Source organism: Homo sapiens, chromosome 6 (assembly GCF_000001405.40).
Source record: "Homo sapiens chromosome 6, GRCh38.p14 Primary Assembly".
NCBI classification, from domain to species: Eukaryota; Metazoa; Chordata; class Mammalia; order Primates; family Hominidae; genus Homo; species Homo sapiens.
Window position 1 is genome coordinate 107,568,141 of NC_000006.12, and position 23,158 is coordinate 107,591,298.

Here is a 23,158-nt window from a genome sequence, read left to right on the forward strand (position 1 = left end):
GTTAAATGGCGAGAGTCATTTCCAATTATTGACTCCATTGTATTTTCATATATTTCAACTCATTAAGAAAAAAAAGAGCCACCACAAAAACAAAACAAAGAAAAATAAACCTGGACAATGCTAGTGCTCAACAGTGGGAAACACGGTCAAGTTGCCTGTGGAGTCCTTACAAAACACAATTTTAAAAATATGTATTTTATTGTTTCTAGAAATTTGACAAACTAAAACCATATTGAAGATGAACAACGGACTCAAATGAGCCAAAGCATGCCTCAGGCAACTCTAAGCTTCCCACCAGTTTGGGGCTAACTCCCATCACTCCAAACTTTTGTGAGAGTATATGATTCTGAATAGCATGGAAACTAGATCACAGGTTCTACACACAGAATAAATTAGGTTGGGAGCAACACACACATCAGCATTATTAAGCCTGCTGCTCCTCTGCTACCTCTGATGTTGCCCAGACGAAAGGGTTAGGAGGGGAGAGATGTGTTGAATGAGAAGGAGCTGCCAGTCAATAGGGACACTAGTGGGTATTGTGGTGGATACCTTCTGCCCTTTTCCTCAGGTACTCTAACCCTGTATCTTATGAATAATCCTATATTGTAATTCTTATTCTGTGCCTTCGGTCAGATCACCTGGCTACCTCTTGGTTTCTTCATTTTTGAAACAAGAAGATGTTATCACTCTCAGCAGGCTGAAACAGACTGAGAGAAACCTTCATGCATTGACCCTGATAAAACCGGCTTTATTAACACAATCTTTACACTCCCACACTTTTTTATTAACGTATATAAGGCTAATAAAAAAGAAAGAAAGATCCGTGATTGGAAGTGAGAAAGAATTTTTATACCACTCTTCTTACCTGGAAAACAGTTGTTTTAAAAGAGTTATTTTAAAAATCTATTTGGGGGGCAGGTAAAGGAAGAGTGGGAAAAGAAGAAAGGTCAGAACAATCCACCACTTTACCCCTTTAATATCCCAAATATACAGGGAGTTCTGAATCCTGAGCAGTATCAGATTTTGCTTTTGGAAACACTTAGGAAGTGAAAATGATGCCAGTGACTCTCTAAGGGCAGTGGCATCCCACTGCAGAACAGTAGGCTGCAGGCTTCAGGATAAGACAAAAATAACAATTTCATCACTATCCCCTACCAAGGCAAATCTGAGAAATTTTGCTGAAATTGTTTTTCCATGTAAATTTCAAACGTTCTGAAAAATAAAGCACCAGTGGATACAGGCAGAGGTTTCCCAGAGGGCATAGTGCATGTGGAAGGGAAGCCCATTCATTGGACCTGAAACCACAGGATAAAGGGGGGTGAAATAAAGGCTGGCTGAGAGTCCCCACCTTCCAGAGCTGCCTTTGTTGCAATGAGTGTGAAGCACACGCCTCAACTTTTCGTTACTTTGGCTTTTTTTGGCTAGTGTTGCATCTTATAAGTCACAGTCTAGCTTCTCCTGTCCGTATTTTTACTGCACAGAAGGTTTCCCAATTTGCAAGCGTTTGCAGCACGGCTGGGCCCGGAGATAAAACAGAATGTGTATGTAGTACAGTATGCATTCAACTGATGCACAAGACTCTTTCCACCATATGTGCAAAGTAGTGTGCTTTTCACTCGAGGTGCCCCTGCCAAAATTGCCAGGAGCACATGAATAAGTGGAGGAGAAATGCCCTGTGCGTAATGCAGCTCCAGGCCTCGCCCCACCTGGGAAGGAAACCCATGTGTTCTGCAGCCGCCTGCATTCTCACCCCCCTTTGCAGCCCATCTCTCACATTGTTTTATGCTTACCTTTACACAGCTCGAACCTCATCCTTCTCCCTCAACTGGGGCCCATGATGCTAGCCATTGTGAAGGGCAGGTGTAGGGTCTCAGTTGCCCTTCCAGGAAGAGAGAAGTAAGGGTAGTTAGCACTTATGCTAATGAGAATAACGGGACTGGTTAAATACTCATCAGTTACAGAGGAATACCACTGGGTGAGAGCAAGTTGGTGTTTTTTCCTTCCCCTTACACATTTATTGTCCTTCGTCTCCTGCAAAGTGTAGCTTACCAAGCATTTTTATTGGAAAGTAATATTGGTCTGGTCTTTGTGGGTAAATCTTCCGGTGGAACATCTTTCATGATGAGATTTATTTCATGATAAGTTTTTAAAAAGAGTGAAGGCTATAAAAGAATTGTACTTTTCACTCACCTCTTTGAATCTATCTTAATCTCCTTGTATCTTTTAGCCTAAATCAATCAATCTAGGGAATTTTTACCTTGATATTCACTGCCTAAAAATTGAATCACCACCTTCCTTGGCTTTACTGAAAACTTGATGTTTATTTGAAAGCATACAGTATTTTTGATTCAAAAGTTGTCAGTAGGACACACAACTCAGAATCTTTTGTTGAGTTTTAACTATTGGTGTTACATGGTGGTTACAGCCACGCTCTCATTCTACCAAGTGTGGGTAACAAGTACGAGCCCCGCTTTATGGATGGGAAACCAAGCCATGGGGCAGCCACTTCCTTTCACCTGTCCTTTCATTCTTTCAGCCACCAGTCTGGGAGGTAGGGCTTTTCCACCCACGGGCCCTGCAACAGGGTATGCCTGGCAGAGAGGAGAGATTGATCCACATTTGGTGAAGATCCACATTAAGTGTAATAGCAGTGCTATCACAATCCATTGTAAATAGGTCCATATCTCAACTTTCTTCCTTGACTTTATTTGAATTACTTGTAAGCTTTCTCCCTCAACATATTAACAAATAACCTTTGGGCCAATAAAAATGCAATTTTTGTGCTTACGGTTTTCGTGAATGCGAAGGGATTTGCTGTCCTTGACGGTATTCATCTAGAACCTAGAACAACGCAAGACTCTGTAGGCCACTTGCATCTACCACACCTCTCCTGATCAGTGGATCTGGGGAATTCCTTGCCTGGTGAGGGTACACTTGGAGTGTCAGGGCTGTTGGACTTTGGCATTGTTCTTTGTTACTGTGGGGTCTGGTAGAAGATGATGTATGTCACAGAGGAAAGATATAGGAGAAATATGGCAGATAATGCCCTGTTCACTTGGAAATCTGGGTGGCCAGAGAGACAGTTGTGCCAGTGGGTGCTTGGTGACAGGTGAGGATGATGTGTTCTGGAAGAGTCAAGGAAAGGAAATGGTAGGGATGATGTTGAGTTGTCCAGGAAACCTGGCTAACCATCCATTGTGTCCCTGTTGGAATCTCCATTACTAAAGGGCAGGGGCCAAAGGAGAAATGTCCTGCATTTTATCAAATTCAGTGTAGAGCGGCAAGGCTTCTTGCGGCCCTGGAGAGCATCCTTGGCTGAGGAGAAGCCCAGTCGGAGCCTCCCCTTAACGCCTGAGCTTTGGATGACACATCATCACTTTGCAATGGTGGCAACAGTCACACTGGAGCTTGATTCTCATTCATTTGGTAATTGGTTATTTCAACACAAACTGTGACTAAGGAACATGATTACACACCTGTCAGCCATATGACGGGGAAGAGAGCTGTCTGTGAGCAGAGGAAGAGGCCTCGTTTCTACCGGGGTCTCCGTGGAGTCTTTTCCATCAAAGATGTCATTTTTCATTTTAACCTCGAAACAAGACATATTATAGCTACTGCCTTGTCTATATCATTTATAGGAATCGCTGCCACAGATGCTAATCTAAACTAATACAATTTCATTTTGATTATATCTTTGTAAGCATCAGATTCTAGTGCACAGGAAGGCAGGATGTAATATAAAGAAACAAATGAGCATAAACATTATGTGGTACCTGTGGAGCAGCTTCCTGTGACAAGGCAAGGGACGAGGAGAAATAGCAATTAAGATGTTTTGTACAAGGAGAACATTTTACTGTAAGATGAAATAAATCGGTAAAATAAAAGAAAGCTTTTTCAGGTTGCACAGCTGACTCAGGGAGGGGAGTTCTCACTTATGCAGAAGAAATTACCAGGTGATGGAGAATCATGTCTAAGGATTATAAATAAGAGATGATGTTTCAGAAAGATAAGGGTGGACACATTTAAACAAAACCAAACCCTGAAGATAGCAATTTTGAACTGAATTCTAAAATGAAGGAGGACCTAATAAATCTGGCAACACTTAGTTAAAAAGAAAAGCCCTAGCCTTTTGAATAAGAAAATAATAGCTGCAAATTTGCACACTTTTTTTTTTTTTTTTTAAGGCAGAGTTTTGCTGTATCGCCCAGGCTGGGGTGCAGTGGTGCGATCTCAGCTCACTGCAGCCTCTGCCTCCTGGGCTCAAGTGATTCTTGTGTCTCAACCTCCGGAGTAGCTGGGACTACAGGTGCCCACCACAATGCCCAACTAGTTTTTGTATTTTTAGTAGAGACAGGATTTTGCCATGTTGCCCAGGATGTTCTCAAACTCCTGAGCTCAAGCAATCCACCCACCTCAGCTCCCTAAAGTGCTGGGATTACAGGCATGAGCCACTGCACCTGGCCTTAATTTGCACACTTTCTCGAAATGGTGAGCCAAATATCAGATTGTTCAGAAAATCTCCCTGTCGTTTATCTTTTCTGCTCCTCTCTGTCTTTGGTGAGGTTACTCAGTGTGTGGATTACAATGTATGTGTGCCCAAGCTCTGCTGAGCACTGAGCACGTAAATCAGCAAATGATAAAGGTGTCCTCTGTTATTGAGTTAGAAACAAAGTTTACGTAGGGTGAAGTTAGTAGCTGGAAAATAAGGAATTGAAAGAGGTGACATAAATGGTAATCAAGGGAAATAACACTAAAATCATAGTTTGAGTTATTTGGCAGAGGTATGGTGAAGGCCATGGAATTCACCATACTGCAGTGCCCACGAATCCTGGGCTGCTCACGCGGGAGCCCCTTGGTAAGTGTGGAAAGTTTGTTGACCGAGATGCTGCTCAGGACATACCAGGAGTGAAGACATACAAAGGAAACAAAACAATGCCTTTTTTGAGGGAGCGAAATGGATAGTCAGATGGCTGAAGAGAGATAGAAGTGGTCGTTAAGTACTGATTGTGTCCAGATTGTGTAGAGGGTTAGGATCCTGATTAGTGGGTGTGTTTGTGCATTTCTAAAATTCCTCCAGCCTTTGGCAGTGTCTTCTGATTGGCATTTGCAGTGGGATGCTGGGCATACCCTTATAGTTGCATGCAATTTAATTTTAATCAAGACTTTAATGATAAGAAAAGATAGTGAGTCCCTATTGCCTTCTTGCCAGCTGAGGTTTTTTTTTTTCTCCAGAAAAGAAAGCAGATTTGTGAAATTTAAGTAACTGTCATATATTGAGTACTTATTCTGTGCCAGGCATTGTGTGGGGCACTGCGCCAGGCATTGTGTGATGGATTGTCTCATTTAATCCTTGCAACAAATTTCTGAAATGGATGTTGTGTACCCCATTTTGCTGATGTTTAGGTTCTCCTTTTCTCCATCAGTGGTGGCACCAGGAATCAAACTTGGGTTGGAGTGGCACCACATGGCCCTCCTCAACCCTTTCTGTACTAATGTCCTCAACTAAGTGGGCACATGGGGTGCTCAGCCCTTAAGAATTTGCTCTCACTTTTTCTTGCTTTTTACTTCCTTAAAATTCTTGCCTGCTAACAAGAGTATTTTCTACTTCCTGCCTTTTGTAGTTTACTTTTATTTACCGCCATAAAATTATAATTATTTAAACATCTAAGTTTTAAACAGGCTATAAATATATGATCTTTGACACTCCAGATTGTGTATGAATAGAGCTTTCAAGGGACCATTTGCTTTACTGTTATCATTGAACTTAAAAAATTAAAATGTATGGAGCATGTGGGCTGAATACCATTCATTTTAGGCGCTTCATTATTCAGTTGTCTACTACTGCCTGGCACACAGTAGATGCTCAATAAGTGGAGAACAGATGAATAAGTGAATGAATGGAGACCTAAGGAAAACATTACTCAAGTGCCCTTGCCCCACTGTCTACATTCTTTGGGGCCGCAATGACACATATAGTGCATCCTACAGTTTATGGAACCAGTCAAAACATTTTTTTAACTCAAAGGCAAAAGTCTTTCATCCCTTAAGACAAAGAAATGACTGAAATTTCTTTGTTATACTAGGATACTTGACTGCATGTAAACATTGCCTGTTTTTATTAAGAAGGGAAGGCTAATATCAATAACCTTATGAAATGATCATTCTTATTCCCCTTTTACTATTTTCCACATCAAAGAATAACAGCTTTCTATTCTGTGATTAGGCAAGAACCATAGGAAGAGGTTTATGAATCTAGAATCCCATGTCCTTGAGAACATGTCTCAATTTGTCTAGGAGCCTGAGAAAAGATTTGAGCTGACTCTTACTTTGATTATGGGATCACTAAAGATCCCATAATCTTTCATTTGTGGGATGTGCACATGAAACTGGAATTTAAGAGATTTCAAAATGAGTGAGCCCTCTGGTGAGAAGTCTGTCAGCTTCAGGGATGTCTCCTTCCCCATCTCTACGCAGGGTTTCTCACGCTGAATCACAGGACTCCCCTGGCACCACTCCTATTTCATCTGCAGCCACCATCCTCGTTCTCCCATCCTTGCCTCATCTTGGTCCCATACCCCAAGTCCAGAACACATGGAGAGTCCACCCTGCCAATACTGGTGGGCCTAGGATTTGGGTCTGCTCAGCCTTTGGCCGTGTTCCTCAGCCTATGAGATTGGCTCTCAGCTTCCCCCATGAGGTGCCAGCTCCCTCACCACCCCTCCGTTTCAGCTGTGTTGGACACCAATAATTTACCACGAAGGGGAGAGACCAGAGGGCGAGTTACCTCTCACCCACAAGGACCTGCAAGGATGTGAGGGTTTGAGCCACAACTTCTCTGCCTTCTAGTAATCCCTGCGGTTTCTGCCACTCATTGTCACCATGCTGCTTCTGCCCACTGTGCTCCTGGGGCGCACGAGCAGTGTGGCATGGGGGTTGAGATCTGCACCTGGTGTCATGACACCTGCATTCAGAGCCCAACTTTGCCTTTTATGGGCTCTTTGGTCTTAGGCAAGTTGCTTAACTTCTCTACACTTCAGTTTCTACACTGGCAAAATGGAGGTGGTGAGTAATAGGGACTTCCTAAAGGTTTAGGAAGCTTTAATGAGCCAAAGTCTGTAAAATGCTTAGCACAGGGTCTGGCACAGGACAATCATTAAATCTTATTATTATTGTCAAAGTGGCTTCTATATTGAATTTTCTTCCTTTGTTCCGGATGACAGCTCCATGAAGTAGTCACTGAGTTGGAAGGTTCTGGAATTGGTGATGCCCTCCCCAGTGGGGTCCAGCCTTCATACAGTGGGGTTTCCAGTCATCTCTGAGATGCCATCTAGAGCAACACTGGGTGGTTGAGAGACCAAGGTGCAGAGGAACTGGGACAGCTTGGAAATGTTGGTAGCTAGAAAGGTTCAGTGAGGGAGGGAATGGAACAAACAGAAGGGGTGGGGCTGCTCACTGTGCAAGGCAGAACCACATATTATTTTTCTCAGTTTACACTAAGAAGGGAGAGGTTGTGGAAACGCAGGTCACTTTTTGTCTTCCTTCACCTGGGCTTTGACCCCAAAATACACCTCCTGGAAATGTAATAATAATAATAATAAGAAGAAGAAGACAGGGTGACAGAGGAGCAAGAATTAACTAAAATTGTCATCCAGAAATGAACTTCAACTTGATACTCAGCTGTTGGCTTCAACAGGCGTGTCCCTAAACCCCAGTCAAATTCTGCCGAAATGATTATCCCCTATTTAAGCATGCCACAATCCTACTTTTTATTACCTCAATTCATCATCTGCAGAATGGCTGGGGTTTGAAACAAAGACTCCAGAGAGTGTCGTTGGAGCAGAGGTCATTATTTATGAAGCCTCTTCACCTCCATCTTCGCATTTGGCTCCTCAGAGAGGCTCATTGGTCCTGGCTTTGGAGGCAGTGTAATTCAGATATTTTTCTTCCTTAAGTCTGATAGCACCTCCGTTAACAGGTCAAGTGGCATGTGGATCATAATTGGAGCTGTCAGGAGGACCATCCTGCCCAAAATCATGTTTGAACTTCACAGTCTGAAAGACCCAGGGATGTGTCGCCTCATCTTCCTCCTTTGCCTACATCCACTGGCAGAAGTTGCAGTATTGCTGCATATCATTTATGTGGCTAGCGCACAGTAAAAGTCAGGATTCTGTCCTCGTCCTAGGCTTTCTCCTTCATGTTCAGGCTGATTTTAGATCTTTACATATATAATACTCATATTTCTTCCTAAAGAAATCTTATCTTTAAGACAAATTATATTTTGGACAACATTATGCAATGCTGACTGTAACACTGTCCCAGGCCAGAGCAGTGACCAGGGTGGGATACTTTCCTATGTCTGTCCAGAATAAAGACCTGAGTGGCAGGACCAAGGCCATACCCATGAAGGATAGTCAGCTCCAGCCAGGCCGAGTACACAGATCAAAGGGCCAGGGCAGGACCACAGTCAGAGTGAGGGTGGTGAGCTGGGAATGGTATGGAAGTGGGCTCAAGCCAAAGCTGCAGGGAATCAGTGGCAAGAGTGCAGGGTGATGGCTGGGAATGGCTTTGAAGCATCTGCAGCCCTGCTTTGCTGGTTGGTGGGCACCTGGGGGATGAGGTAAACTGAGGCTTAGCATATGGACGGGCCAGAACAGATGTAGGCAACCCTGGTTATACCCATACCCTGATTATAGCATTTCTGTGGTTGCTGGTGGAAGAAAAGAAAGTTAAATTCATCTGAGTGCTGAGCTCTTGTCACAAATAACAATTGTGACATCATGTCTTTGATAAGTATTGCTGTTAGTTGAGAATTTATAGTTCTTGACCTCAGGATTAGTAACTAATTCACGGACACCATTTGTTTCAATTTGTGACTCATAGCTATCCATGACTACCCTCACCAGCATATGCCCTGTGAGTTATTTCTTCCAGAAGCAGTGAGAGATGTGCACTGATTCATCTGCATCCTTTCGCATGTTTTCTGGTGTCTGTCTCCCCTTTGCCAAGACCTGTACATGTGTGACATGGCAGGTCATGACGAAGGGTGTGTTCTGTGACAGTGACATAGATCAAGCTAACTCACTCAGGGCAGTGACCTAAGCTCTTGCTTTGTGCTCCCACCAACTTGAGCTAATTAGCCATCGACCTGCTCAGAGCTACATTATTGTACTTCTGTCTCTATTATTCCTAGGAGTGGAGGGTGTTGTGGACAGAGCAGAGGCTGGCCAACTGGCTTTTGGTGCTCCACCCCCTCATCCCCCAAAACAATCACCACAAGGTGGGCAGGTTTCTCAACAAGGCACATCCAGGGACTCAGTTTCACTGATTGGTCCAGGGATATCCACTGCCTTGATGAACTGACTCATGTTGACCAAAGTCACAATCTGCATTTATATACCGAATGCCAGGAATACAGGAGACAAGATAGCATGAATGCCCCTTGTAGTCTGTACAGCATCACCTACAGGATTAATAAAAAATTGTATCATAATATTGATGATGTTTTTAGAAGTCCACAAAGGAGATTGCTAAAGGACCTGCAGAACTGAGTGAGTTTGGTAGGATGTGTCTTTTCTGGTATTGAGAGGCCTAGGTGTCATACTCGATGATCTGAAGTTTATTTAGTAAGAATTAGATTAAAGAAGTTGGTTTTGCCGGGCGTGGTTGCTCATGCCTGTAATCCCAGCACTTTGGGAGGCCGAGGCAGGTGGATCACGAAGTCAGGAGATCAAGACCATCCTGGCTAACACGGTGAAACTCCATCTCTACTAAAAACAGAAAAAAATTAGCCAGGCATGGTGGCAGATGCCTATAGTCCCAGCTACTCGGGAGGCTGAGGCAGGAGAATGGCGTGAACCGGGGAGGCGAAGCTTGCAGTGAGCCGAGATGGCGCCACTGCGCTCCAGCCTGGGCTACAGAGCAAGACTCTGTCTCAAAAAAAAAAAAAAAAAAAAAAGAAGAAGTTCGTTTAAGTGTTGAAGATGTTGGAGTACCATCTTTCACAGGCTGTATCAGAGACCTACTGACGCTGCTTCTGAAGCTGCAGGGAACCCTTTTCTTGGGCTCTTTGCAGACTGCCTCTTCCCCCACCCCGCACCCTCCCTCCCTTCCCCCCATTCTGTTATATTTGTCATTAAACACTCTCTTTTCCTAATTTTCTTGGTATATTCAATCTTGGAGTGCTAAAACCAAAGAAAATTTGAAAATTTCCCTTAATAACATGTTTTTAAAATGTAATGACACCAGTATTTTCAAGTTATTGTACACAATTTACCTTTGCCACCAGCACATAGGTGGGAGATCATCAGTGTGTGGCATGGGGATTCTGGAGCCAGACTGCCTGGGTTTGAATCCTGGTTCTACCACTTGTTAACTGTGTGAGTTTGTGTAAACTCCATAATGTCTCTGTGCCCCAGCTTCTTCATATATAAAATGGAGATAATGATAGTACCTACTTCATAAGTCATTTCTTTCCTTGATATATGTATGAGTGTGTGCATTAAATGAGTTGATACATATAAAGCACTTAGGATGGTGTCTGGTACGTGCAAGAAAAGCTGTAGAAATGTTAGCCATTATTATTAATCCCGGATAATAACCAGAACAGCATCTTAATCTGGTTAGTACTGTGTTTTTTAATCCCATTTGAGGCCGGGTTATTTCTGGGGGAGGCATCCTGTAGATAGTGAATCTCCTCTGTAACATCTGGATCCTTTTCTAGCCTTACAGATAGGGTCCTGGAGTACAGCCCTTGCCTGTTTCACATTTTCTCTGATTTCTCAGGTCCATCATGAGATCTGCATATAATCATATGAGCCCAACCCCCTTCTGCCTAGTGATTTCAGAGAAAAGGAATAAAAGGAGTACCTGAAATGCCTAGATTAGGTCTATTAATTAAGGATTTTGTGGGTGCCAACCAGCAGCAAAGTGGAATCATTTGTGTTTCCCTTCCTTTTGTTTCCCCTCACTGTGTCCCTGGGTAATAGATGCAAATGACTAGTGAAAAGCCAAAAGGCAGGCAGTGGGCGGAGGAAGAAAGTGGGGGAAGGGAAAGGAGCCTGGATAATCCAGTGTCGATTAAGCTTCCGGAATAATCAGAAGCTGCCTGGGGTGTGAGGTGGTGTGGCCTTAGCAGAGAATGAAAAAGAAGGGGGCTGCATGCTCCTAGCTGCTGGGCCTTACCTGTGAAATAACAATTCTTACCAAACAAAGACACTCAGGTGACCTGAGAAAGAGCCCTGCAAGATAAATGCAAAAGGGTCACCTGTCCAATAAAGGAAAAATAGATTTAAAAATAAAAAGTAAAAACAGGCATTTTCAGAACCGCTTAAGCAACTGCTCTGATTATTCCAGACACAGTTTTAATGTGCTGGGATGAACATGATATATTTTAGTTCATGTGGAAGCTGTATTTCAGGCTGATGTGGAATCTGTTGCCATAACTGTCACGCAATCCATTAGGGCCCCTGAGTAAAGGCAGCCATTAATCAGGCACGAGATCAGCCCCATAGCCTCACATGCGTGCGGCTCTGAGGGGCCCTGACCTGACATCATTTAAGGAGATTCTCATGGAGGCCATAAACATGATTCGATTCCCATTATCTTCATGTTGCATATTTGTTACCATTACTCTTTGAAGACTCCAAATTGGATGTTAAAAATTTATGATATATATAAAGGTTTGCATGGAGTGAAAAAATAGCTGCAGCAAATAAGTCCATCTCATCCATCAGAGGTGTGTGAGCTGTCAGAGGAGCCTGAAGAGCTATGGAGAAAGCCTGTCAGTTAGCCAGTTAAGGAGGATGGAGAATTAGGAGGGCCTTCTCTGGGCAAACAGCTTTTCCTACAGCCTACATACTAAATGGGAATTTAAATACATTTGGTTAAAAGAACAAAGTAAAACAGCACCACTGCAGAAATCCCCATAGACAGTCTTCGACAAGCAGGTGAAAGGGAGGGCAAGGGATCCTTAGGCAGACATTAGTAGTAATGTGAATGGAGCAGATGCCTGGGTCCAGAGATGGATGTTTCTGGGTTACTGGCATATCTCCAGAGCAGAGAATCTGATGCCAGGTGGGAGCCCTCTGTCCAGGAGAAAGCCCTCCACCCAAGCTGCATGCACACATAATTTTGTTTGAGAACCATGCAACTCTCTACAATCTGTTCAGTGACTTGAATATTTGCATAGAAATAACTCGTATTTAAGGGTTATCCATTCATAGAGGTAGGCAGTTCAGAGTAGAGAAAAACAGAACATTCCAGGCCTTGGCTTAAGGAAGAATGAGAGCTAATGAATCCATTCGACATATATTTACAGGATTGTTTGTTATATAAGGGACTTCATACATAATGCATGGTCTCTGCCGTCAAGGAGTTTCAGTCTGGTAGAGGAAATAAGACATGGATGGTAACCAAGGAGTCTCAGACAGACCTGGGACTCTAGGAGAAGGTGAGATATCAGAAACAGGGAACAAGGTGCACAGTTGCTTAATCTAATCAAGGAATGGACTTTTGAGGATGAGAATTTGTTGGGCAAAGACCAGAGGATCAATTCAACAGGGACGTGGAGGAGAGAAACGTGGGGCAAAAAGATGATTGGCCAAAGTCCAAATTGAGTGCAAGATCTTCTGTGAGGCCAAGACCATGGTATCTAACCAAGTAGGAGGAGCAGGTGTTGGGCAGAAGTGCATCGAATAGTTGGTGAAGGTCTAGGTGTGAGGCAGGTGTGATCAGATAGCTCCAGGAGAGCCGTGCTGAGACTCGGGTATGGAGAAGACTCCTGAGGTTCAGAGGCAGAACACTCAACTGGTAGGGACTGGAGTGTAAGGCTGAATATCCAGCGATAGCGTTAAAGGATAGAAACCCATTCATTTATTCATTCGCTCACTCGGTCATTTATGGAACCCTTATAATATGCCAGGCACTAGTCCAGGATCTGGACATTTGAAGCTGGTCAGAACGCAGTTTCCACACTCAAGGACCTGTTTGATTAGTGGGAGAGGCAGACACACACATGGTCATAATGCAATGCAATAAATTGGTGTGGAATGGAAATACAGGGACAGAGGGTGCAGAGCTTAGGCAAGGACCAGGAGGAAGAGTCACTGATGGCTTCCTAAAGGAGCTGCAGTCTGAACGAAGGCTTAAAGGTCACATAAGGATCTGCCAGCAGAAGGAGAGATGGAATCTAGCTCCACCAGAAAGAATGGGAGTGAAGGACAGGAGACCCAGTTGAAGGGCACTAAGAATTCAGACCCGAGGAGTTGGGCCACTGAGATGAGCTCAACAGTGCAGTAACTCCAGGGGAGGCAGGGAGCTACTCTGAAGACCTCCCTATGTTGTTCCCACCAGAGGCAGGAGTGGCTGAACAGAGATCCCAGGTGTCTGTCCACTGCAGGACAAAGAATCAGTGCTGACCTTTAGTTCAAGTTCACAAAGACATTCACAGCATACTGAAAGGCAGTGTGTGATAGCTGCTGTTTATTCCTGAGCTTCCTCAAGAGAACGTGTGGATGCATTTGAGAAAGGAAGGCTAAACCAGAAACGAGATTTCAGAAAATGAAATTCCATGCGTTTTCAGAGCAGTGTCCCCATGCTTTTACCTTGAATTCGAAAATAAACTCTATTATTTCTGGTTCCAACAATTAGTTATAAAATATAAAATCAATGGCCCCTTTTTTCTCCTCTCCAATTCTTCAACTATACACTTATTCTCACAACTTTGAGTTGAGCTGTTTTTGGTGTTCTTAAGTCCGGTAAAAATGCCACATGTGTGAGCTGACATGTGCTGCCTCTGCTGCAGCATAGGAGGGCTAAGCTTGGAAACTCTGTTGTGCTCTCCCCGGCCCTGATTCCAGGCAGAATCTTTGCTTGTTTTCAAAAGAAATCCTGAGATCACAATGACACAGAAGTGTAAACTCCCATTCATCACAGGGAGGTATTAACTCTGAAGCCTAATTATCTTTTGACTTAAATGGCAATATTGTTAACCTTTTCATGGAGTCAGAAACATCACACTTCTCTGGGGTAGGCAAGTGGAGCTATTTCTAGAATGTTCCACCTTTTCTAAAGGCATTCTTCAGAGGAGGAAGAATGCCTAGCTTGCTCCAACATGCACATGGCACCAAGACTTTGGCTCAGAGGAAGCAGTGAATTTGAAGAACTAAAGTTTGCTGTATTGTAAGAATCAAAATAAGAGAAGTGAATTAGTGCTGATTCAGAGGGAAAGAGAGGTGAATACAAAGTTTGTTTAAACCAGAGGTTTTTGAAGTAGAGAGGCAATTACTGTAAATTTCTCATATCATCTAATATTTATCTAAATGTTAGGCACAACATGAAAATGGTTACACAACTGTCAGCAAAACAGGGAAATCCGCTTGCAGTTTAACTGAAGGATTTTTGTTTCTGTTATGGCAAAAAAAAAAAAAAGAAATTTCCTTAGAATAATAGGTCAAAAATGCACCTTTGTTCTGACAATCACATTTGTAGTAAAATGCAAAAAAATAGTCTCCCATTTGCTTTTCCCTGTAGTTGGCATAAATATCTAGCACACTAGTCAGAATAAAACTGTTGAAAATAACACACAAGGAGAGAGTTAGTTCATCATGAAGTGCCTTGATGTGCCTTCTTTCAGAACTTGTCACTCTGGAAAAAAGTCAGACGTGAACACAATTCTTCTGGCCCCAGTGGATATCTAGAGCCGACAGTGGGGTGGTCCACTCTCAAGAGGCAATTAGAGAATGCATTGTCTGCAGAGGATTTAAGAACAATAATAAAACCAGCTAAAAGTTGGTCTGCTTTATGTTGTTACCATGAGCCAGTGATTCTGAACAATTTTAGTGTTCACATATTCCTCCCTGAAGGGGTCGTTGGTGTCCTATGTCCACCCTCCTTGTTAAGCCATTGTCTGGCACCCCACCCAAGTGGGGGCAGATGTAGAATAAACCTCTGACTTTAATATATAAGAGGTTGTAAAACATTATGAACTGATTCTCTAGGGTAAGGAAGGTCCTATGGATGTTGTCTAACATTGCCACCAGTTCTGTGAATGATCCAACTCATTCTTACAGATCACTTACTGGGCATCAGGCAGTGGCTGGGCTGAAGATACAGTGGTGGGAGATCAGACTCTGTCCTTGCCCTTAGGAAGCTTGTAGGCTACTAGGGGAGACAAAAATCACACCAGTAATTCCAAGGTTGCAACCATGTTGAGTCTAAGAAGGACCACAGAGGAGATATTTGCCTTGGATAGAGAGGTTTGGGAAGGCCTTTTTAAGGAAGTGGTATGGTAGTTCTTCCAAGATTATTGGTCATACCAGAAACTAAGAAACAAACAAACAAATAATGATAATTTTTGCCCACAAGCAACTAGTTCTGTAATCTCTTAAATCTTTTTTCTTTTTTTGAGACAGAGTCTTGCTCTGTTGCCCATGCTGGAGTGTGGTGGCGCGATCATAGCTCAACATAACCTCGAAGTGCTGGGCTCAAGCAATCCTCCTGCCTCAGCCTCCCAAGTAGCTAGGACTACAGGTGCATGCCACCACACCTGGCTAGTTTTTGTTTTGTTTTGTTTTGGTAGAGATGGGGTCTCCCTGTGTTGCCCAGGCTTTTTGAATATTTAGGGTAAGGTCTACCATAGGGACTACATCCTAGAGGTTGAGTGTTCCTTATCCAAAATGCTTGGGACCAGAAGTGTTTGGGATTTTGGAATATTTGCGTTGTATATACTTACTGGTCGAGCATGCTAAATCTGAAAATTCAAAACATGAAATGCTCCAATGAACATTTACTTTGAGCATCATGTTGGGATTCAAAAAGTTTTGTATTTTGGGGCATGTGGGATTTCAGATTTTTGAATCTGGGTTGCTCAACCTGTATATCCCCCTCTCATAGCACAATGGTTCACTCCAGTGGGCCTGGGACCTGGTTAGAGAACATTCTGGCAGCTATGCCAAGGGCCTCCCCTTGATAGCTGTAGGCACTCTCCTTAGATCGGCAGTTCTCGCCCTTCTTTGGTACATTACAATCACCTGAGAGCTTTCTAAAAACCACCTGTGTCCAGGCCCCAGTTAAAGCACAATCTTAGAAAGGGAGGGGGTCAGACACCAATATGTTAAAAAAAAAAAAAAAAAACACCCCAGATGATTCTAATATGCAGCTGGGGTAGCGAATTCCTGTGTTAGATGAATGCACTGAATTACACTTATTCCTGTCATAGTAATTTAAAATTACACATTAAAAATTTCACAATGCAAAGGGGATTACAGTGGTGAGAAGTGTGTGTGAGTTATTTGTGCACACAAATACACGTGAAGGTGATGGTTCAAGAACTTCTTGTACTTTGCATGCTTTTCATTTCTGTGGCATGTAGTGGAAACACAGCAAATGGCTGAAGGATAGAATTTCTTGGACTCTGGAGTCAGGGTGGGTGTTAGAGGACAGGCCATTCCCAGAGCCATGGAAGTTTGATGCAGAGGTGAACATAATGGTTCAATAAAAAAGCAAGTTTCTAGCTTTCTGTCTCCACTTCCGAATCTCTTCAATCCCCCTCTCCTTTCTCTTCCACTGCTACTTTATTTAACCTCATAAATTATGCAGCTTTATATGAAGTCTGTAGCCCCTTTGAGGAAGCATATTCAAATATTAGATAATGGGATTTTTTTTTTGTCCTTTAAACACAAAAAAAACATTGTGTGCACCTTACATGTAAGTGGAATGAATGTATTTTTGCCACTAATGTTGAAAATATCCTTAGGCATCTGGTGTGTATGAATGTGTATACATAGTATATGCATAATAAACACATTCCACCTTATGAATATTTATATACAAGATACATATATATTGAATATAGACATACATATGTAAATAGTAGCCCTTGAAAATTATATGCAAAGTGTGTTTCCAAGCATATATATCATAGTGCATCAGGAATATAATAAAGCTACTACCAAGTTTAGCATATTTTGAGGTGGCATTTTCTACAGAGTTGTTTATGGTAGGGTCTACTTACTATCCACGTATGGGTTTTTTCCATCATCACTTAAATGTTTGTTAAATATCAACTAAAAGTAAGGCACTGGGCATGGCAGAACAAGAAAGATGAAATTGATGTGGTCCCTGCCTTTAAGAGACCTGTACCTCATAGAGTGGCTTAACATTTTGTTATGAAGAATCTAATATTGTCACTGCCCAATGGCATCTTCCTACTTTCTTACAACTGCCTTTCATTTATCTATGCCACTGCTGCCTTTGCCAGTTGGGATTTAAAATGTGACCCATTTGAGCTATATTAATTTAAACCATGGCGTAGCTGCAAAGTTGTTCCGATGCAGTAAGAAGAAACATCATTGGTCTCAGTGCCTTGTAGCCACTGGACATGAACAACAATTAAACTTTTTTCTCTGTCGCATATAGCCAATCCTATAACTGCATTTTTATTTTAGTCTGATTTAGTAGGAAAAAAAGGTACAATAAAAAGGCACCAAGCATGAGGGATGTTATAAATCTCAAAAGTGAACCAAAAGAGAGCAATCTCTTTTCCCCACAAACTTCTTGTAACCTAAATATTACTGACCATGACATTGCACTTCCAAGTTCCATCTAGTTCCCTCCCTGGACTAGGTAGCAGAAGCTTTCTTAAACACAAGCAATACATTCTAAAATGTACAAAATATGGATCTCTTTCTAAAATGACAAGCCCCAGTATAGCCAGGGAGCTCTGAGTGACACTCATCAGGGCAGATTTTGCTCCATTAAAGGAGGAACAATACATAAGCATTGTCATCTCTGCCACAGTGTATGCTCATTGTTTTCTCCCCCCTCAATCCATACATAACAACAGGTAGTTCTCAGCTGTTCCCTTGGTGCCAGACATACATTTTATCTAAAGAGACAGCAGACAGAACTACCTGCTGCTTCCTGTGCGGCTCTCCCTGTGTTTCTCTCCTTTTTCCTACTTCACTAGGGCTTTTAAAAATCAGCTGGCAGGGAGCCAGGAGCTCATCATTTTAATGCAGTGTAAAATGGAATATGCATAATTATATGCAAGCCATATGTGAGGGAGACAGCTCAGCTGTGAATTTCAGGAGGCCAGGAAAGAGAGAGCAGTTAGGGCTAAGATGAGATGAGAGCAGAGCGGAGTGCAAGTGTCACGCAAATGAATGGTTTAATGAGTGTGCTGCAGACACGCCCCCTTTCACCTACCTCTCCCTTCTCTCCCACTCCAAACCAGAAACCAGTGGAGATTAGAAAGAAGACTGTATGCAAGCGGTATTGCTAATGGGTTCTGTTAATGTCTCCATTTAAACTTCAGCTTTCTTAATTAACAGCGTAGATCAAAATAACCAGTAACTTTTAATGCAGCTTTTAAATTAAATCTTTTTTTTTTTTTTTACTGCATTTGATTGAAGAATCATGGTTCTTACCAGATCATCGCTCCTTTTAGATCTTTATTTAAAAATGGAGGGGAATCAGTTTATCTCTAATAGTATTACAATGCAAAATATAATTATGCAGATTGCTTTTCTTATGGCCTTGCTATTAGAATTTTTTAAAAGTGCATTATCTAGAGATTGCTTAAGCATGCCAAAAAGTTTAAACACGTATGTATGTCATATAATCCTAAATGTGCAATGAACAATGCGCACTGAAAAACTAAGGTGGTGGTAATTGCCAACAAAATTATTTGATTTTGGTTTGCTTGATATTGTTTTAAATATTACACCACAATGAATTTGCATGTTCAAACTAAACAATGTAAAGAAAAATAAATCCCAAATTTTGATACCTAAAAGGCGTACTGCGTATTTAAACAAACTTCTTAATATTGTTGTTATTTCTGGATTCCCGTTTGTTGAATGATCTGAGCTGTTATGCTTTTTAGCTTTTTTTCTTCCATTATTTGTAAGTCCCTAAATAGGCCATTATATTTCCCTTCAGGCTAGAGATGAAGATGGACATGCTGAAAATTTTCCCCAGCAGCACTATGCTAAGGAAACTCCAAGGCTTGCCTTCAAGAATAACTGCGAACTACTTGTAAGAATAACATACTTACAACAAGTCTAGAATGTTACTTTAGCACAGTGAAAACAGTTTTTGAAAGGGTTTGTTCATGATTACATAATTGATGAAATATTATAGTTTTCTGTATAGAGTTCTAAATGCTAATTCTGATATCACTGAATATTAATTTTAAGATCTCAAATTGTTTGCAAATCTTTTATATCTGATTATAGAGCTTGAATGGCCCTGTCTTTATTAGCTTGTTGTGTTTAGTAGTTTATAAGCAGCCACTTGGAGAATGGCTAGTAAAGTTAAAAATATAGAGAAAGACAGTTGATATATGTAGCTTGGGAAAAAAGAACCTCACCCTCACCCCTCCTCCTACGTCCTCATTGTACACTATTTTAGGAGACAACATGGTAATATTTTGTTCTGCTAGGGAAGATAGCAGAGTTGACACGCAGTACTCCCTTTAGAATTCAAGTATTCCTCCACTCTCTTGCCAAACTTAATCGTCTCTCCTATGCAGAAGGAGTCAAAGCAGTGACAGGGTGCGGGGATGTTTACAAGTCGTGAGAGGGAGGATATCAGCTGTGACATTGAGACTCTGTTCCAATGCAGGGTTAATTTGCTGTTCATTTTAGCATTTACAGCCAGACAAGATGAAAAGCAAGCAGGAATGCCTATTATATTTCTATTAAATGAATCTGTTGGGACCTAATGTTCTTGATTAGCTTTTGAAAATGAGTGCTCTGCAATGCATTTTCTGTTTACCTAAAGTAAACAGAGAATGAATTGTCATTTATTTAGAGATTCAAACACTCCTTTTGAAAATGAAGCTTTATGAGGGATCTAGCTATGTTGTCCCTAAATGTTCTTTTCTTTTCAATTGCATTAAAGCAAAACATTTGCTCCAACTAAGTGAAAACACTGAAAGAGAATGAGGATGCTCAGTTGTTACATTTTGAGGTAGTCTAATTTCTGTTTAGTTTTTTGGCCGACCAGCTCTGCCAGGTCTCTGCATTAGGAAATCCCACATGTAACAGTCTTTGGATTTAGCTCTGATACCAACTGTTCATTAAAAACAAAGTGTCCAAAGAGCAGAAGAGACAAAAATTCAGTTCTTACCCATTCTAGCCGCAGTAGCTACATGTTGACAGCAAGAACCTCCTTTTCCCCCTCCACAGTCTGCACAGTTACAATTACACTACTTATTCTGTGTGTGTAGTCCCTTGACCAACAGATCCACAGGCAAATTTGCTGCTTATAAATGTAATTTTTTTCTGAAATTTTAACTTAACTTATGTTTTATCTTAGGACTCTTAAACTTCCAGGACTGCTAGCATTACCTATTCTGAGGAAACTCTTTTTGTTCATTTCGGTTTTAATGTGTCTCTGTAACTATGATTATTCAGCAGAAGACCACAGAGGCCCTTATGCTGTGTTTTGGTATCAGAATGCTTTGGGGTAGCTTACTTCTTTTTAGAGAAATTTGCAAAAGTAACATGCCATATTTAATTTTTGTCTATTTGTTGGAAAAATGAACATGCTTGAGTCCTGGTTGTGGTCAGTTTATACTGGAGGAAGCAAAACATATATGTGAACATCGTTTTTAGCTGTCTTTAGAGAAAATAGATGTTTTGTCATTGCTGTGCTTAAACACATTGTTGTGTTGGCAGTAGTTTTGAGCAATTTGGTACAATCTTCGTCCTTCCAGTCACTGTTAGAAATGCTTTATTTTGGTCAGTATACTTTCCTGTGATAAAAGAAAAGGAATAAAAAGAAAACATAAGTAAGCTTATTTCTCCAAGGAGAAATTTAATTTTTTTCAGCTGTAAGAAAAGTGATGGTGTTTGGCTGGTTATGAAGCCCTGAGAAGTTATGCTTCTATATGAAAGAGACTTGTTCATTCATAAGAAAGAAATAGGAAATCCTTGGAGTTTTCTTAGTGCAACTTAGAGCAGATTTTTAAAGAATCTGTCAGAGAAGATTGCAAGCTCCACTCCAAAGTACTTTTTTAGCTGAAGGGTGGTTCTGCCATCTTCTTGCATGGATTGCTGCAAGAGCAGTAGCCAGTTTAGAAAGCATGGGAGCTCTGGAGAAAGCACTGAGGGCACAGGGTTCTTCTGGGCCCCCAGATGATCAGGAGCACATGGCTGGACGACTAGTCCTCTGTGCCACAGACACTGACAGAAAGTGCCCTGGCCAGGTAGACGGGACATTGCCTTGACTTTATTACTGACTCTCTAATGTCTCTGCCCGCTCCCCACCCCCACATGCCTGCTTCTTGGAAGAGGGAGGAATATTAAGTAACTTAAACAAAAGCAAAGCAAAATCGATGCCCGGAATACACAAGTGTGTGTAATCAGAAGGCACTGACAAAGAAAGCATTGGCTGATAGAAAAATCTGCTATGCAACTGTAGATTTCCTGTAGGGTATTGATTTTTCCATTTAAATCCCAAACTGTGATATGTGCCTTCACACTTAATGTACAACACAGATGACTAGATATTTAGCTTTGTGGCCAAGATCCTTTAGTTGGTGACTGTGCAGCAGTCTCCTTATGCTTTTTATTAATTTTGAAAATGAAAGGCTGTCAAGATAAGTGACATTAGCTAAAACGAGTACTATTTGATATGTCACAATTCAGTGTGGCCCCACCTACCTCTTCATAGATAGTCATGCACACTTGCAGGCATGCGCACACACGTGCACACACACACACACGGGTGTTTTGCTGGCATATCTAAGTTTATGACTAAAGAAAACTTTTAATAAAAGAAAATGTAGGAAATTTCTATCATGTTAACAGTGTAGCAGCCTGGTTTACAAGAGCCTGGAAAAGGGAACATTTAGAGCCAGCCATGGGTGAGACTAGCCCAAGTCCATTCTTGGTCCCTTTATCATTACTGCCTCTTTCTTCTGGGACTAGAAGGCTTCTCATTTCCTCTATTCAAATGCTCGTATCTCTGGCTAGAGGTGGGTTCAGAGCTAGAGTGAGGAGGACCATAAGTGTGTTATGAGCTCACTGTTTCTCCTCAGCCACGACTTTCTCAATTTTTGAAAGCCCACTGAGAGTAAGACCTTGCAGAAATATAGCATAAGCTGGGTCACTGGAGGGGAAAGACCTCTAGTGAGAAGAAGAGGAACATTGAGAGGGTTTTGAGAAGGAACTGAAGACTCCTGAGCCTACTCCCCAGGTTTTCAAAAGACCAGTCCAGAGAACATCCCTGTGTTCAGGAAGAAGGTCAAAATATAACCAAAGAACAACAGCAACTGATGGAGTATTATTTGGTTGGAAAAAAAGCCAGGCTTAGGAAGTTTGAAAGGGGAACTAAGAGAAAGGAAACTCAGAGGGGCAAAATCAGCCTGTCTCCCTCAGTTCCAGATTCCTGAGCCATCACCTAGACAACGTCTGAATCCCTTTGGCTTTTCCTGAGGCTGTTAGGGGTGAGGGTTTTGCAGAGGGAAAGGGAGGGAGCTCACAGCTGGAAGGTGAAATAAAAATAGCATCAGGGAAGAATTCTTCCTGGTCACTTACAATGCCTGTGTAGGGAGTATATGAAAACTACTTTAGTTTTATGGCTGTGTGATCAGAAGTGATGATGAGAAGAGATGCTTAGGCTATTTTTCTGTGGGCTGATTTTTCCATTTCATTTCCTCGTGGATGTAGACAGGTGGATTATAAGAGTTGCATGTAGTCCTTAGGCAGTAGAAATACCCCGTGCTAATCCAGGGCTCAATAAACATGACATTATTGAGCATCTTCTATGTACAAGGCATTGTACTAGACAGTGCAGGTAGGGACACAACATAGAAAAAGACACAGTCCCTTCCCTGAAGGAGCATGCAATTCAGTAGGAGAAATAAGGCACATACAGTATCATAGTCGTCAAAAATGTGGGCCCTCAGGTCTTGCCCCAGCTGGACTTTATACACTGTCATCCTGGTGGTATAGCTAAGGATCATAGACGCAAAGGCTTAACATTTATTGTAACGTATCTGATATCACATCACACTTTTGGATCCCTGTTTCACCCCCTTGGACCTCTCTGAGCTTCAGATCTTTTGTAAAATGTGATAATAAAAGGAAATAACCTCAGAGCATATCATAAGGATAGAAAATGATGACATATTTAAAGAGCCAGGCACATA

The 23,158-nt window shown here is 41.9% G+C and overlaps 1 protein-coding gene across 9 annotated transcripts in view, besides 1 other annotated feature; it reads left to right on the plus strand.

Moving 5' to 3' along the window:
- Window positions 1-23,158, plus strand: part of SOBP (sine oculis binding protein homolog) — a 171,190-nt gene that overhangs the window by 78,024 nt on the left and 70,008 nt on the right. For 6 of the 9 annotated variants that reach the window (NM_018013.4, XM_011535920.3, XM_047418963.1 and 3 more), the window contains one exon: window positions 18,940-19,035. The exons of the other annotated variants lie outside the window; for them this stretch is intronic. In NM_018013.4, coding sequence (NP_060483.3) covers window positions 18,940-19,035 — 96 coding nt within the window. The remainder of the gene's footprint in view (window positions 1-18,939; window positions 19,036-23,158) is intronic. 9 annotated transcript variants of the gene reach the window in all.
- Window positions 17,511-18,403: an enhancer, noted in NCBI's record as "NANOG hESC enhancer chr6:107906855-107907747 (GRCh37/hg19 assembly coordinates)". NCBI's record gives its function as "activates a minimal SCP1, AML or CMV promoter by ChIP-STARR-seq in primed H9 embryonic stem cells {active_cell/tissue: H9 hESC(primed)}" and the evidence as "EXISTENCE:reporter gene assay evidence [ECO:0000049][PMID:30033119]".